This window comes from Homo sapiens, chromosome 6 (assembly GCF_000001405.40).
Source record: "Homo sapiens chromosome 6, GRCh38.p14 Primary Assembly".
In the NCBI taxonomy this organism is placed as follows: domain Eukaryota; kingdom Metazoa; phylum Chordata; class Mammalia; order Primates; family Hominidae; genus Homo; species Homo sapiens.
In genome coordinates, this window is record NC_000006.12 from 57,198,854 (window position 1) to 57,215,877 (window position 17,024).

General features: G+C 38.6%; 1 protein-coding gene across 6 annotated transcripts in view; it reads right to left on the bottom strand.

Annotated features, from left to right (window-relative positions):
• The window catches only part of RAB23 (RAB23, member RAS oncogene family), a 35,316-nt gene that overhangs the window by 11,862 nt on the left and 6,430 nt on the right, over window positions 1-17,024 (bottom strand). For 5 of the 6 annotated variants that reach the window (NM_001278666.2, NM_001278667.2, NM_016277.5 and 2 more), the window contains exons 2-3: window positions 11,373-11,592; window positions 8,775-8,860 (exon numbers count right to left, since the gene is read on the bottom strand). In NM_001278666.2, coding sequence (NP_001265595.1) covers window positions 8,775-8,860; window positions 11,373-11,527 — 241 coding nt within the window. In that variant the 5' untranslated portion in view covers window positions 11,528-11,592. The remainder of the gene's footprint in view (window positions 1-8,774; window positions 8,861-11,372; window positions 11,593-17,024) is intronic. The other variant, NR_103822.2, reaches the window with a different exon arrangement.

The window sequence follows — 17,024 nt, forward strand, 5'->3', positions numbered from 1 at the left end:
AAAAAACCCCAAACAGATAATGCCAGAGATACGGGCAGTAAGAATGATTAAGAAAAGCTCAACATTATTTAAAAAATCAAAGACCAAAAGAAAGTATGTCCATAACAACCCCAAGATTATTTAGCAGGGGACAGAATGGGTACAGACCAGAGAAATGTGGGAATGTGCCAAAGTGCTTGTGTGAAGAAAGGGAAGATGTTTACATAATCAGGGAGGTAAATAAACAAACCCTGCAGCAGAGGCCTGTGGCTGCATGCATGTCCCCTCAACCGGGCTTCAGCGCAGCTGTGGAGAACAGTTCCTGTGCCAGTTGCTCCTGCCTATGCTGCAGGGGGCTCTGCTGTTCTGCTGGGGGCTGTTCTGATGCATCCCCCAAGGGGGAAGTGATGCCTCTGGGTGGCGGGGGGGTGGAATGAACACCTCAGCCTCCCTTTGGTGGGCTCCTGAGGCCTCTCTTCATGGTTCCTCAGGGAGACTGAGCCCCAGTGGCCCACAGTGATACTTAGAACGCTTTACTGGTTTTTCTCCCTTCCTTGCCTCATTCTCCCTAGTCTTTCACTCTACTTCCTGGGATCATGTCCCAAATAAACGAGCCCCACCCATGTGGCGCAGTGGGAAGGCACACAGAGGCTTAAACTAAGACAGTAAATGCCTTAAGTTAAAGGCAATCACCTTAAGAATAAGAGAATGTATGACTATTAAACCACAGGAGAAAAATGGATTTCTGCAGTATAAAGAACAAAATGAAAAAACAAGAACTGCAGGAAATAAAAAATCTGAAATAAGATCGCAAAAATAAGTCCTAAGAAGATAAATTACAATCTATAGAAAGAATGGTACACAAATCTCCAAAGCAGGACGGTTCACCTGATACCAAGCCTTTATATCAAATGCTGCACCACCTTGTCTGATTTAACCTAAAAATATTACTAAAATGGAAAAAAAATCAACTGGATTACTTTTTATGGATTACTTTTATGGTTATAATAATTCTGACAAATGTTGGACAACCACTTGTTTCCATTTCCCCTAACTGAATATCATCTTCCATCTAGACAGATAAAATACTTTGTCAAACTGTGATTCATCATGGTTCTTTTATGTTTGGAAAAATCCTAATGACCGGAAAGCCCTTTCTAATATTTAGTTTAAAAAGCTCAAAAGATGACCCCTTACCCTCCACCCTTTTTTAAAAAAAAACTTTGACTGAGGTACCAATAAAGCATGTAACAAATACAAGATTCCAAGATTTATGAGACAGATCATTATTTGCAGAATTTAGAAAGCAAATGGCTGATCCTGCTGCACAACTCTGAACTCCCTCAAGCACTTCAAGAATTTTTTTTTTTTTTTTTAATATGAGATGGGGGTTGGAAAGGAAAAGGATCTGTAAAGAATGTCTTGGCCGGGTGCGGTGGCTCATGCCTGTAATCCCAGCACTTTGGGAGGCTGAGGTGGGCGGATCACGAGGTCAGGAGTTCAAAACAAGCCTGGCCAACATAGTGAAACCTTGTCTCTACTAAAAATACAAAAATTAGCTGGGTGTGGTGGTGGGCACCTGTAGTCCCAGCTACTTGGGAGGCTGAGGCAGGAGAATCACTTGAACCCTGGAGGAGGAGGTTGCAATGAGCTGAGACCATGCCATCGCACTCCAGCTTGGGTGACAGAGTGAGACTCTGTCTCAAAAAAAAAAAAAAAAAAAAAAGAATTTTTTTAGAGGAAGTACTGTACTCCAAACCCTTTCTCCTGCAAAAAGGTGCAGTAGGATGGATGAGGGTGCTATCACCACCTGCTTCATCTCAAACCTTAAAGAATGGATGCTGACAAGACCAATTTAGGAAGCTGTTACGTATTTCCAGCAACTGGCGGACATTAGGGACTAGTGATGCCTTGATTCAAGCCTGAGAAAAATGCAATGGGTGAGAGTGAGAGTGAAAAATCAAAACCAGCAGACAAAAAGCAGAGAGCTATATTGGGAAGGAACTGTGCCTCTCCCAATGGCAGGGCAAAGAATGCACATGAATTTCATAGGGGCAGAGATGAACCACATCTAAGAGATACCAGTAATGGGGCTCTGGACATGCTAAACTAAAATATGGCACCTTGACGTACTGAATATTTTAAGCTGAAGGAATCTGAGAAAACAGCAGAAGCAGGAGAGTCACTTTGATCTCCCCTAGCCCCTTCTCCTCTGAAGCAGATCCTAAAATTCAGGAAGGATTTTCTCTCTCTCTTTTTTTTTTTTTTTGAGATGGAGTCTTGCTCTGTCGCCCAGGCTGGAGTGCAGTGGCATGATCTTGGCTCACGGCAGCCTCTGCCTCCCGGATTCAAGCAATTCTCCTGCCTCAGCCTGAGTAGCTGAGATTACAGGCGCCCACCACCATGCCCAACTAATTTTTCTATACTTTTAGCAGAGATGGGGTTTTGCCATGTTGGCCAGGCTGGTCTTGAACTCCTGACCTCAGGTGATCCGCCCATCTTGGCCTCCCAAAGGAAGGATTTTCTGACCCTCACCTGAAGGAGGTCATAAGCCCCTCAGGTGAGAGGTGACCTCCATATACCCAGAGGAAAGGAGAATCCTCATTTCTGAAGAGAGAAGGATACCAAAAGGAATCTGAATGAACCTCTGCTGATGAATCTTGCTAAGTTTCCTCCAGTTTACTGCTCTTAGCTCATATTTGTCCTATCACATTCTTCAACAACTTTGCACTCTTCCTCAAACCTGGTATAAAAACGTTCAGGTTTAACTGTTTATTTGGGTTTTCATTTCCTTATGAAGGTTTCTTTGTCACATAAAACTTATATTAAATAAATTCATAAGTTTTTCTCTTGTTAATCTGTCTTTTGTTAGAGACCCAATCAAGGACCAAAAAGAGTAGAAGGAAAAAGATATTTTTCCTCTCCTACAAACCAAAGTCACAGTAAAAAACTGTAACAAAAATCTATTTCATGTCGTCTGTATCTTTCTGTACTAACTAAAATCACTGGTTCCTACTGCCTGGAGTCAACTTTCTAAAAAGCTTTAGAGAAATCACTTGGGATCCCAGAGGCTTCCTAATCTGTGCTCTGTTGTAACCTATTTACAAGAAGGTCTTGTTTCAACATCTCTCACTATACAATTAAGCCAGCATTCCAAGTCCATAATAATACCTTTGAGCAATGGCTTTGATATAATGGGTCTTTTAAATGAATTATAATAAAATTGTTCTTTTTAAAATTTTAATTTGTTGATTTTTATGCATCATTAATAACACATTTCTAGGATTTAAATCAGCAAGTCATAACTATATATGGCATAGTGTTTCTACCACTACATTTGTATCTTAATTCATTCTTTCTAGCCCTTACCTTCTCTTCTTACTTTTATTTCTATTTAATTTCATCACTATCTAAATCTGTACTAGCAGCAGATATTGTCTGATTGCCTAGGTGGCATCTCTCCCTAAAAACACCTTTCCCCCACTGTATAGTAGCCATATGGTTTAGGTAGACTAAACCTATTCTCTGCTGGAGGTGGGAGTTGTGGTGGTGGCAAGGAGCACAATGTGATCCAAGTCAATTAATCACATTCCTCTCATTATTGCAATCAGGTCAAGGGTGGTCTAATCAGAGAAAAGCTCAGGACATCTGAACCACTGCTGTGGGAAGTAACCCTCTCTCCCCAAGGATGTAAACAAAGCATGTGGCTGTCATTGCTCCTGGTGATAATCTTGCAACCCAAAAGGAAATCAACATGAGGAGGTACCGGTACCACACAGGGAAGAGACAAAGCCAGGAGAATCAGTAAGGTTATAGGCTGAACAAACAACTAAAAGGGATGCTATTTCCAGACTTTTCTATCAAATCAGTAAGTCTCTGTAGTTTTAAGACAGTACGAAATTCCTTTTATTTGGCAGCAACCAAAAGCATTCTAATGGAACCCCAAAGAGGTTTCCCAAAGGGAAAACATAAAATAATGTTCAATATACTGTTTTTCAATTTTATGTATAATTGCTGTTTTTTCTTTAATTCATATTGTATTGTGATAAATGTTTACTTTTACCATTTAGAAAAAGAAGACGCTGAAACTGAGGACCTATCTCAGTATCTCACCCTCTTTGCCATTTTAATACAGTCAGCTAAAAAGTTAAATTACTAAGATAGGCTGTTTTTTTTTTTTTTTTTTTTTTTTGAGACAGAGTCTTGCTCTGTCACCCAGGCTGGAGTACAGTGGCATGATCTCGGCTCACTGCAGCCTCTGCCTCCTGGGTTCAAGCTATTCTCATGCCTCAGCCTCCCCAGTACTGAGATTACAGGTGTGCGCCACCACACCTGGCTAATTTTTGTATTTTTAGTAGAGACGTGGTTTCACCATATTGGCCAGGCTGGTCTCGAACTCCTGACCTCAGGTGACCTGCCGGCCGCAGCCTCCCAAAGTGCTGGGATTACAGGCGTGAGCCACTGTGCCCAACCAGTTTTGCCTTTTTAAATTATAGAAACATAATGTCAAATATATTCTCTAAAAATAACCCTATTGGTTAAAAAGTAATAACTGCCACATCAAACTGTCAAAAGCTTAGAAAGGATTAGGCCAGCCTATCTGTTTCCTCAAAAAAAAGAACAGACATTTCATGCAGAGAATTTAGAAGACCAAGTTCACTAGATAAAAATAAAATAATGAAAATCTCAAGTAATCCTACTTCTTTCTGGTGTTTCCACATAGGTTTTATGTTTATTTTTTTCCTGAGTGTGTGGGGAAGGTAGTGGTAATAACCCCATTAAAAAATACAAATAACTTTTACTCAAGAATAAAACTGTACATTTAGGACCTGTTAATCAATACTGTCAAGGCTGATGAAATTCATAATTTGATACAAATATCATCTACTTGAATGACAGAGGGGTAGAAAAAAAATACCATCTACTCCAAGAACGGCTTGGGGTAGTAAAAACATAATTCTCAACCTTAGACCATGATACAGGTGCTCAGGATCCAAACTGGTAGCCACAGAGAATAACCAAAGCTACTGTGGACGGGAAGCCTTAAAGTACACAGTAAATAGAGTGGTAAGTAGTGGTGGCAAGAAACCAAAATATGTTTTAGAGCAGGCAGTGGAAGTCAAGTTTCCTTGGTACCAATTTAGAAAGGCAACTTCTTTGGTCATTTGTATGTTAGTACAATCATGAAACCTTAGTTGTCATTATTACAATAAATCCTACATTTTCAAAAGCGAAAAAAATAAGCTATATATTCAAAAGTTACATGAATTCACCCAATTTCTCAAGTATATCGATTTTATATAACTGGTGTAAGTTTGTAAATAAGCAAGCTACTTCAATAAAATCAGTGGTAAATCCTGTCTAAAAGAAGAAATTATGTGTTTATATGATACTGTACCTAAAAGTTCATTAACACTGTCACTTGGAACTTTCATATATATAGATTTCTTCAAGAGACACATACTGGTATACTGCTATTCAATATATCTATTCTATTTTCAAGTACTGCTTCTCTGATAATCCAGGACACACAAACATAGGTTCCCTTTCAAATTGGGTAAAGTGACACATTAAAGAAGACTTCCATGAAGAAGTCAGAAGAATTTCCATTGTATACATAACTATTATTTCAGTTTCATTAAACCTGTATCTTTCAATACAGGATGTTTAAAGAGACTTTGAAAAAATAATTCATAACTGCTTCCATATCATCTGTTGTTTGGGACTGTTTAGTATTCAACTACTAGCATTCTACATACTAAGATAGAATATATTTTAATTTTTATGATACCAAAGAGTAGATTTAAAAGCAGAAAACAAAAGATTTAAGAAGTAAAAAAGATAATTAGCTTAAAGGAAACTTTTCAGATATATTTCTAAGCAATGTTATTACATGAATATAAATACAAGTTAAGACAAAGAAGCCAGGGCAAGGTTTACTATGCCTATTATATCCCTAGAACAACAGAGACACTTAATACACATTTTCTGAATAAAACTTCAAATCTAGAGAAACAGTCATGGGGGCAACTATAAACAAGGTAGATCCTACTTTCCTGGGGCTTCTAGTTCAGAGAGCAAATACCTTTAAGTGAAATCATTTATATTTATAAATATAGATATATGTGTATATACACATACACATACATATGTGTACATATGTACAGACATGTTTACATAGATACATACATATATGTATATGTGTATATATACATCTGTTTATAAATATGTGTATATATACATATACATATATTTGCATTTATAAATATATATACACTGTGTGTATATATACACATCTATACATATATACTTTATATACACACATATATACACACTATATTAATTACATATATACATATTACATACATACACATATATTAAGTGTGTGTATATATGTGTGTGTGTATGTATGTGTGTGTGTATATATATATAAAAATAAAATTTCATCCATTACTTAAGGTCAGAGTATAAAGTTATAGCATCTGATAAGTAAAATGAGACTGTGTGATGAACGAGCAGAATTTCACTTTATAAAAAAATTAACCAAAATGATACTGTCTCCTAAGGTCAACTGAATTCACTTGAGCCAACAGGTGCTACGCAATGGGGCTGGGGAGACAAAGACAAAAAACCCTGCCACTCCATAAGCCAGAAGCTAAAGTAACTCATAATCTCTTAGGGAAAATAAATATGCAAATGCTACATAGAGTGATAAATGCAATAAACATACTGAATTAGCTAAAAAAAATTATTAACTGTTCAGGGATGAGGGCCACAGAAAGTTTCACAGAGACTTCTGAGATGTTAAACCTGAAGGCAAAAGGTCAAGAGAGACAAGAAAGCATTCCAGGCATAGTGTAAAAAGAAAAGAAAAAAATGGGGGATTTCTCAAGGGTGAAGTACAAGTGAGGAATCAGCAGATGATGCTGGACAGACGAGGGGAAACACAGTTGTAAAGTCCTGTGTATATGATGCTGAAGAGTTTTAACCACGAAAGTGATTTGGTAGTGGGAAGGATAAAATGGTTTTCACTGACTATTTTCTCAAAGAAGAGTGAAGCAAAGAAATCAGCAGAGTGGAGAGGAGGAAGGGATTCCCAAAGTTAAGGCAAGAGAAAACACAAAAGAGCTCTTTTGGAAAATGACAGAGACTTGAGTAAAAAACACTGAGAGTGCCTGGCAGCACTATGTACTCATTAAGGTTATGTGATGTTAGCTTCAAAGTTCAGTCTGAATGGTTGTCTGATATTCTCTATATGGTTCAGGTGCTCGGATGCAGATTGGTAGATAGTCGGGTTTAACTGGGTTGGGCATTTTGCTGAGCAAGTATTATGCAGAGAGCGCAGGTCTGGGAGTTAAAGGTCCTTGCAAGCAAATGCTTACAGGACTAGAAAAACTAAGCTGAAGAAGGAAAGAAGTAAAGCCATGTGGAAGGTCATATTTAAAAAGTGGTAGGGTCAATGAACAGAGAAGCTCTCGATGGTTTCAAGACAGCGTCTGGATATTAAAGTTAGCAAGCCACAAGCCACCAGTAGTGGTCAGGGAGTAGGAGACTATAGAGGTTTAGATTTTGGGGTAATGAAACAATTGTTGGCCTTGAAAACAACAAGGAAATGAGCAACAGGCTGAATTTTCAAAAAGTAATCCAAACAATTATGGAGAAGAAACTGAGTCAGATGCCACTGTTATCAGAAAGGAGGCATAAAGGAAGTTGATGGACCAGAGCAAGCAGGGGGATTAGTGGTGGGTAAAAGTCTCATGACCTGGACTTTCAAGGTGCCGAGGTTTTGGAAGGAGAAAAGAGGAGGAATGGTGTGGAAGCAGCAGTGAGAAACAAGACAACCTCTGCCGAACAGCCTTTAAGTCTTGAGGAATGTGAGTATGCAGGGATATGGGTAAAAAGCCTCCCTTAGAGAAGGCAGCAGAGGAAGTTGTGTCTTTAGAAAACAAGTTTTAATTACAACACGGTGAAAAGTTCAGAAAAGAGGGACATCATAGAAGGGATAATCAGTATATCAGTTGTGCCTTTTTATTTCCCACAGCATCTGCGAAATGCAGAGTATTAAATACCTGTCAATATGAATGATCAATTAATATTTACTTGGCATCAACAGGCTATAATGCCACATGGTATTCCACCAAGCTTTTGTTACTGTGTTCTCTCACTTTAATCACTATTGGCAGTTGAGTTACAGGAACACTGAAAATGGTGTTTTAAATTCCAAAAGAAAAGGGCAAAATTTTATAAGAAAATGTTAAAGGAAACTTTTAAGTTCCATTTGGAAGTTTAATTTAGCCTTTTAAGAAATTTTAGCCCACATTTTAGAGCTTTAAATTCTTTAGTCATGGTTCCTTCCTTTCACAGGTATCTCATACTTCTCTGAACTCCTACAGCAGTGAAAAGGCTTTACCATGTGACTTCATGTGTCGTAACAAATGCCATCTTATTTGCCAGGGCTTTACTTTTTCGTATGTTAGCTTCCACTCTCTGACTATACAGTCATTTTCTTGGGGTCAAAGTAGGCACTTAAGAGTTTCTTAATGATTTGGTCTGGGAATGCCTACATGAGTCATATAATTCTAAGGCAGAGACAAACTGTCTACAGTACCAGGTATTATTTGCTACTATACAAGATCTTTAGAAGAATAATGAACTGGGGTTTTAAAAAATACTTTGAAATTATTTTAACTATTCTTCAAGAGAAGCCCTTATACGGGAAACAAAGAAAGCAAAATTATTTATTTAGCCAAAATAATATGCCCAAACAAAATAAATAAATAAATCCTGTGTTTTACCTCGATAGTAGGCCTTTGTAATTGCATCAAATTCCTCCTGACCTGCAGTGTCCCATAACATTAGTCTGACATCTTCATCATTAACTCTAAAACAAGAGATGAATTTATTTCATATGTAAAGGAAAATGTTTTTGGTAATATAGCTTTGTGTATATTTTTCATTTTCAAATCCAAAGATATTAAAACTACAAATGCTCCTTGACTTATGATGGGTTGTCCCAATAAACCTACTGGGGGTTACATCCTGGTAAGCCCATTGTAAGCTGAAAATTAGGAGTCAAAAATGCATTTAACACCCCATTAAACCACTGTAAATTCAAAAAACTCATAAGCTGAACTATTATAAATCCTTATGCTCCTCAACTTACGATGGGGCTATGTCTCAAAAAACCCATGCTAAAGTTGAAAAACTGTAAGTCAAACCTTCCTGAGTCAGAGACCACATGTACACTGTCAGTTTCACCCTGAAAAACTGAGTACTTTCGGATGTTGATATCATTATCAACAGTGAAAGAGTGAAAAACATTCCCCTAAAGCTACAGCTTCCCACATGATTTGGATTTATCTGCCATGTTTTTTTCTTTGACACAGTCACAGCGTAGTGGTGGTCTAAGATTAACGTTTTGGGAAGGGGAATTTCCTTAGGTCAGTGCCTGTTCTCCTTTCCCGACATCTTTCTAATGGGTTCTGGTGCTTTTGTGATAAAATGAGGATAAGAATGCAAAAAAGCAATTTACCGCCAGTCACGGTGGCTCACGCCTGTAATCCCAGCAATCTGTGAGGCCAAAGTGGGCGGATCACTTGAGGCCAGGAGTTCAGTACCAGCCTGGCCAACATGGCGAAACCCTGTCTCTACCAAAAATAGAAAAATTAGCTGTGTGTGGTGGTGCATGCCTGTAGTCCCAGCTACCCAGGAGGCTGAGATGGGAGAATCGCTTGAGCCTGGGAGGTGGAGCACCACTGCAGTCCAGCCTGGGAGACAGAGTGAGACTCTGTCTCAAAAAAAAAAAAAAAAAAAAAAAGCGATTTACCTCCCTGGCTCACTGGTTGCCCTTAAACTTAAAATTTACTCTATTTTGTCATATAGTCAATTCTCATTATTCACAGTAGTTACGTTCTATAATGTCAATGTGAACACTGAATTAGCAAATACTGAACCACTGCTCCTAAGGGAAACATAGGGTTAGGTTTTTGAGAACCCCTGGTTACATTTTCATCAACTGATCAGTACATAACCTTGTTTTATGTGTTTCTGTTTAAAGACACCTTACTGATTGATATATATTGTTAATTCATTAACACTGAATTCACGACCAACAGCACTATAACTCGTGCCTGAACAAAGCTTATCTAACATATTTATTTTTTCTGTAAGGCACATCATAGCCTTCCTATACTTAGGAATGCTAGACAGCACTGCAGCACTACACTTAGGAGCCTTCTTAAACAGCAAAATCACCAAGAAAAAGCACAAAATGTAAAAAATGTGGCATTAAACAGAACACAAAAAGGACATGTGTTTACTGTATGAGGTACTGAAACAAGAAAGCAGACTTGTTTGATGACCTCAGCTGGGAAGTGCATGATGGGCAACTTAAATTTTTTGCTGCTCTATATATGTCCACAAATGACCACAAATGTACTACAAATACTGATTCTGGGGTTACAAATAAATATTACCAAGTGGGTGAATTTGCATATGCAGAACCTATAAACAATAAGGATTGACTGCATACTGAAATATTTATTTGGTTTCAGGTAATAAGTATAAAAAGCAAACATCATCAAGACTTAACATGCTTGCTCTTAAAATATGTTCTAAGAGAGGAAGCAAATATGGAAATACTTTTAAAAAGAAAGTAATAGAATACAGACTAGAAATTAATCTTTAAAATGATAAAATTATCTTTGATGTTAAAGTTGGGCCAGTAACCAGGTTTGTAATATTTTAAATTACAATTTGAAATACAAACTAAAATGTATTTGGGTAACACATTTTAGTTTGTCTGCTACAATTTAAAATATACTTAGAAGTTCTCAGGACTAATGACAAAAAATATTACTCTGATGTGCTTTAGAATCCAAATGAATTTCCTAAAGCAGGATTTCCTTTTCATAGGCAAATTTTGTCCTCCCAAATCTGTTTTATCTTATTTCTTTAGAGTAAAGCAAACTATTAATTCTCTAACTTCCATACAGTCTTGCCTAGTTTCAAAAAGAGAACAGACATTCTAATAAAAACGAGCCCATAATATAACTTTCATTCCAAAGAAAATAGCAGTTGGAAATCTCACTGGAGTCAGCATCAGTTTGTGTTTAAGACGTGCCCAAGGTGTCACCAATAAATATAAAACAGCTATGAGACAGAAAAAAACGTGGAGAGTAGAAAAAGAAAAAAAAATGAAAGAAGGGAAGAGATGAAAGAAAAAAAAAAGGATAAAGTTACATATGTCATGAAAACCACCATCACTGTCGCATGAGCATTGCCACTAGTTGCCACACCTCGAAATCCACTGCAATCAGTTAACTATTACTCCAATGAGTCTTGGATATAGTTCACAAATCAAAGCCAAAGGAATAAAATGGCCAAGTACTTACTGAATTTGTCGCTCCAAAAAATCAACTCCAATGGTTTTCTTGTAGTCTTTTGTAAAAATGCCTTTGCAATATCGCTGAATCATACTTGATTTTCCAACTGCTCCATTCCCTACAACCACCATCTTTATGGCGACTTCCATATCTTCCTCCAACATTTTTGGAGCTGAAATGGTTTCTGTACCAACTCTAATTCTAGGAGATCAGATCTTCCCTCTCAAATCTGTGGTTTAAAATGAAATTATTTTTTCATAACACAAAAATGTACAAAATAAACTAATTGTTTTATCAAGAAATTATCACATTGCATTGCAAGGATGTGTTTTCATAACTGAGGTCCCTCCCACTCTCTTTAGATAATGTAAACTCTTTGAAAGGTACAGCAATAACAATTCATTTTTGAATGAATCCTCATCAATAGCGCAATGCATGACATTCATATATCAATAAATACCTAGATCTACTTTCATAGAGATGATGACTAGGATCATTAGATTTGATGCCTGATTATTTAAAGGTGCCACTTACTAGTTCTGTGCTCTTAGTGAACACGTTGCTTAACTTCTTCAGGCTTCTGTTTCCTGGCAATAATATCCATCTCATACGGTTATTGATCAATGATACACATAAAGCACTTAGCATAGTGAAAGTTATGCATTCAGAATTTAGTTAAGCATTCCTGATCCAAAAATCTGAAGTCTGAAATGTGGCAAAATCTGAAATGTTTTAAGCACTGACATGATGCCATAAGGGAAAAATTCCATACCTGACATGTGATAGGTCACAGTCAAAGCAGTCAAAACTTTGTTTCATGCACAAAAATACTAAAAGTACTGTATAAAATTACTTTGAGGCTATGTGTATAAGGCATGTATGAGACATAAATGAATTTCCTGTTTAGACTCGGGTCCTGTCCCCAAGACATCTCATTATGTACATGCAAATAGGGCAGGTGTGGTGGCTCATGCCTATAATCCCAGCATTTTGGGAGGCTGAGGCAAGAGGATCGCTTGAAGCCAGGAGTTTGAGACTAGCCTGGGCAACATATAGAGACCCAGTTGCCACTAAAAAAAATAAAATAAAATAAATTAGCCGAGTGTAGTGGTGCATGCCTGTCGTCCCAGCTACACAAGAGGCTGAGGTGGGAGGATCCCTTGAGCCCAAGGGTCTGAAGCTGCAGTGAGCTATGGTCACGCCACTGTACTCCAGCCTAGGTGATAGAACAAGATGCTGTCTCTAAAAAAAATTAAAATAAAATAAAAAAAAATTGTAAATCCTCCATAGTGTATCACCAAATAGGCAACAAATTCAAAATCTGTAGAAATTGCTTTTCAACCTCACAGGTAATAATGTCCCTAAAAAAGCACCCCAAAGAAGGTTTTGTATAATAGTGTACGACCATGTGTCAGCATTGGACTCTTAGTTATAATGATTTAGTGTTTGGTTTACAATGAATCCTGTACAAATAAATATCTTACACCACACATTCTTGCTTTAGTTTTAAACCTTTATAGTTACACATACAGTGAAAGCAATAGAATGGGCACTTTGCATTTTAAGAATGAAAAGAACAGAAAGTCAATTTCTTCATGTTTCTTCTTAAAATTACTAGTTAGGCTACTGCTCCTTTAGCTATTATATTTCAACTACTTTAACTGAAAATCCATCTATACAACCACTACACCAAGGGAGTCCAAAATGTGAACATTCCTTTCTTTGTCCCTAATAGTCTCAGCAATTGTCTCTGGTACTTTACAAACCTGAGTGATCATAAGAATCACCTAAAAGTACTTGTTAAAGTACAGTTCTGGGTCTCTGCCTCAGGCATAATTTATCAGAAATTTCACAGGAAGCCTTGGAATCTGGTTTATAAAACAAGCATAAAAGGTGCTGTTTAGCTCTCCCTTCATGAGCTGCTACCTGGCAGTCTCTGCTACCTCACCTTCAGGATCCACTGCACTGTCCACTCCTGTTGAGGCCGCATTCTCCCCGGGTAAAGACTAAACAGGCAGTGCCACTTGAGTTGGGACAATTATGCACAACATGGATCCTCTTTGGTCTGGGGCTCCCCATCAGACTAGCTGAGATTTTTTCAGAAATGCACTGCAGTCTGGAGCTCTTTCCACCCCATCTTTCTTTATCCTTTCACAAGTATAAAAAACTAGCATTGCAGCCTCTTTATCCTTCTCAGGCATTTTCCCCAATAAATCTCTTGCACTTTTAGTTCCATCTTGATACTTACTTCCTGGAGAACTCAAATGGATATACATCCCAAGTGATTTTACAATCAGGTAAGTGTCAAAGCCAATATCCTATGCTAGTGATTCTCAATTTTGGCTATACACTGGGATCATCTAGATAACTTTAAAAAATACTTGGCTGGGGGCAGTGGCTCACACCTATAATCCCAGTGCTTTGGGAGGCTGAGGCAGGAGGATTGCTTGAGGCCAGGGGTTCAAGACCAGCCTGGGCACCATGTGAGTCCCTGTCTCTACCAAAAAAAAAAAAAAAAAAATTGGCCAGGCATGGTGGCGTGAGCCTGTAGTCCCAGCTACTCGGGAAGCTAAGGCAGGATTGTTTGAGCCCAGGAGTTCAAGGCCGCAGTGAGCCATGACTGTACCAGTGCACTTCAGCTTGGGTGACAGAGCGAGGCCCTGTCTAAAAAACAAACAAACAAACAAAAAACCTGATGCCTGATGCCTGCATCTTGCCCTCTGAGTATACGATCAGATGGTCTAGGGCAGTGGTTCCCAACCATTTTGGCACCAGGGACTTGCTTTGGTGGAAGACAACATCCACAGATGGGAGGTTGGTGGGGGGCAGTGGAGGGACGGTTTGGGGATAAAACTGTTCTACCTCAAATCATCAGGCATTAGTTAGATTCTCATAAGGATATAAGGAGTGCTGCAACCTAGATCCCTCACATGTGCAGTTCTCAATAGAGTTTGGGCTCCTATGAGAATCTAATGCTGCTGCTGATTTGACAGGAGGCGGAGCTCAGGCGGTAATGCTCGCAGCCACTCACCTCCTGCTGTGTGGCCCAGTTCCTAACAGGCCACAGAACGGTACCAGTCCACGGCCTGGGAGTTGGGGACCCCTGGTCTAGGGTACAATCTGGACATCAAGTATCATCATCCTATTACCCTACACAAGATGTAGTCTTTAGGACACACGGTCAAATATAAAATTCTGACCAGGATCTGACCCTTGTTCATCCAGCTGTATCTCACACTGGTTCAGTTCCTAGAAAGCAACTTCCTTTCTCTACCTAAACAATTCTTCACCCAAGAAGACTGTTATGTTCAAAAAAAGGCAACAACAAAAATCTTATCACATTTTATCCTTTTAAAGATATATACTTCAGACACTTTTGCTTCTGAAATGATACACATTTTTCCCTATTCCTTCCTCTAAGTATAACTAAAAATTTTGGATACTATATATAAACAAACATTAGACATTGAAAAGTGCAAAGGTACCACAGGACACAAAGCACAACATGGTAATGAGTTTTCCTTGAGTTCTTTTTACCTCATATATCCCAGACTGGATTATAGAGAAGCTAGTAACCAGGAAATATCACCACCAACAACAAAAAAACATAAAAGCCTACTCTCTTGAGTCAAAGGACCAGGAAAGGGGCAGCCTAGCAAGCAGAAAGATAGAAAACACCTATACCCTTGTGAGGGCTATATTGATGCACCCCAACTCCCTCTATGGGGTGGTGTCAGAAAAGACCAACTGGGGAGGACTGGGGAGGACTTGCATCCTCACTGGGGAGAAATGAAGGCACCCCCCACCCCTGCCCAACCACCACCAAGGCATCCCTAGAGACCATGTGGGAGCCTGAACTCCCACCCCATCCACCAATTCAGTCATCCCTACCCCTTTTCACCTCTACTTTTTTGCTGGGGTGGTGTCAGATGAAGCCTACTAGAAAGTCAGGACTTACACTATCTCTCACAGGTAATAAGGCCATCTACTGACTCTTTGCAGTGTCAGTGGGTCAGCCTCTTCCCAGCCAGGGTGGTATCAGTGGCCCCCAGTAGAGAGTCATCATGACCAGTAGTAAGAGGAGCTCTTCCCATTCTCAGTTTCTTTCTTTTTTTTTAGACAGTGTCTCATTCTACATTCCAGGCTGGAGTGCAGTGGGGTGAACACAGCTCACTGCAGCCTCAACTTCCTGGGCTCAAGCAATCATCCCACCTCAGCTGGGACTACAGGCGCACACCACCACGCCTGGCTAGTTTTTGCATTTTTTTGTAGAGACAGGGTTTTGCCATTTTGGCCAGGCTGGTCTCAAACTCCTGGGCTCAAGTGATCCACCTGCCTTGGCCTCCCAAAGTGCTGAGATTACAGGCACGAGCCACTGCGCCCAGCCCACTCTGTTTCAATGGAAGACAAGCAGGAAACCTGGAGTTTTTATCCTCACCTGGTAGTAAAGAGGTAGTGCCCCACCCTTCCTGTTTTTGGAGCACATCAAAGGAAGAGAATCAAGCTAAAAGAGAATGTAATGAGACCAGAGAATCACAACATAACACTCCCAGTGTCCTGATTTCATCGAAAATCACTCAGCACACCAAGAACCAGGAAAATCTTAAATGCAAAAGACAATCAATAGACACTAGCAATGAGATGACAGACATTAGATTCATGTAATAAGGATTTCAAAAATAAAAAGTTAACTGGCAGTCAATGAGCAATTATGGATATACTTAAACGAATGTAAAAAATAAAGAGTCTCAAAAATAAACAGAAGATATAAAGAAGTACCAAATGGAAAGTAGAACTGAAAATTATAATAACCATAATTTAAAAAACTAAATGATATGTTCAACGGCAGAATAGAGAGGACGGAGGAAAGAATTAGTGAACTTGAACATACAATCTGAGCCACGCAAACAGGCTGAAATAAAGGACAGAGCCTTCAAGACCTGTGGAACTAAACCACAAAAAAATCAGATATTTCTGTCATTGGAGTTCCAGGAGGAGAGGAGAAAGAAGATAGAGCTAAAAAAGGACTTGAAGAAATAATGACTGAAAATTTCCCAAATATGGAAAAAGACAAAGCTACAGATTCAAGAAGCTGAGTAAATCCCAAACAGGATAAACCAGTCAAAATCTAGACCTAAACAAATCAAAGTCAAACTTCTGAAAACTAAAGACAAAACATTTTGAAAGCAGCCAGAGAAAAAGGATGGGGAAAAGTAATTTGAACGACAGTGAATTTCTCCTCAGAAACCATGGAGGCCAGAAGGAAGTGGCACATCATTTTTTGAGTGTTGAAAGAAAAGAACTGTCAACTCAAAATTATATATCCAACAAAAATATCCTCTAGGAATGAAAAGGAAATCAAGGTAATCTCTGATGAGGGAAAACTAAGAGCATTTGTTGACAGCAGACCAATGCAAAAGAACAGCTAATGGAAGTTCTCAGTGGAAAAGAAATAATTTTTTAAAAGAAGAACTTGGAGTGTCAGAACAAAAGAAAGAACATGGTAAGAGCAAAAATATTGTTAAATACAACAGACTTCCCTTCTCTTGAGTGTTCTAAACTATGTTTGATAGTTGAAAAAAAAATTATAAAACTGTCCAATGTGGTGTTCAATATATGTAGGAAAAATATTTAAGACAATTATAAATGGGGAAGGATAAA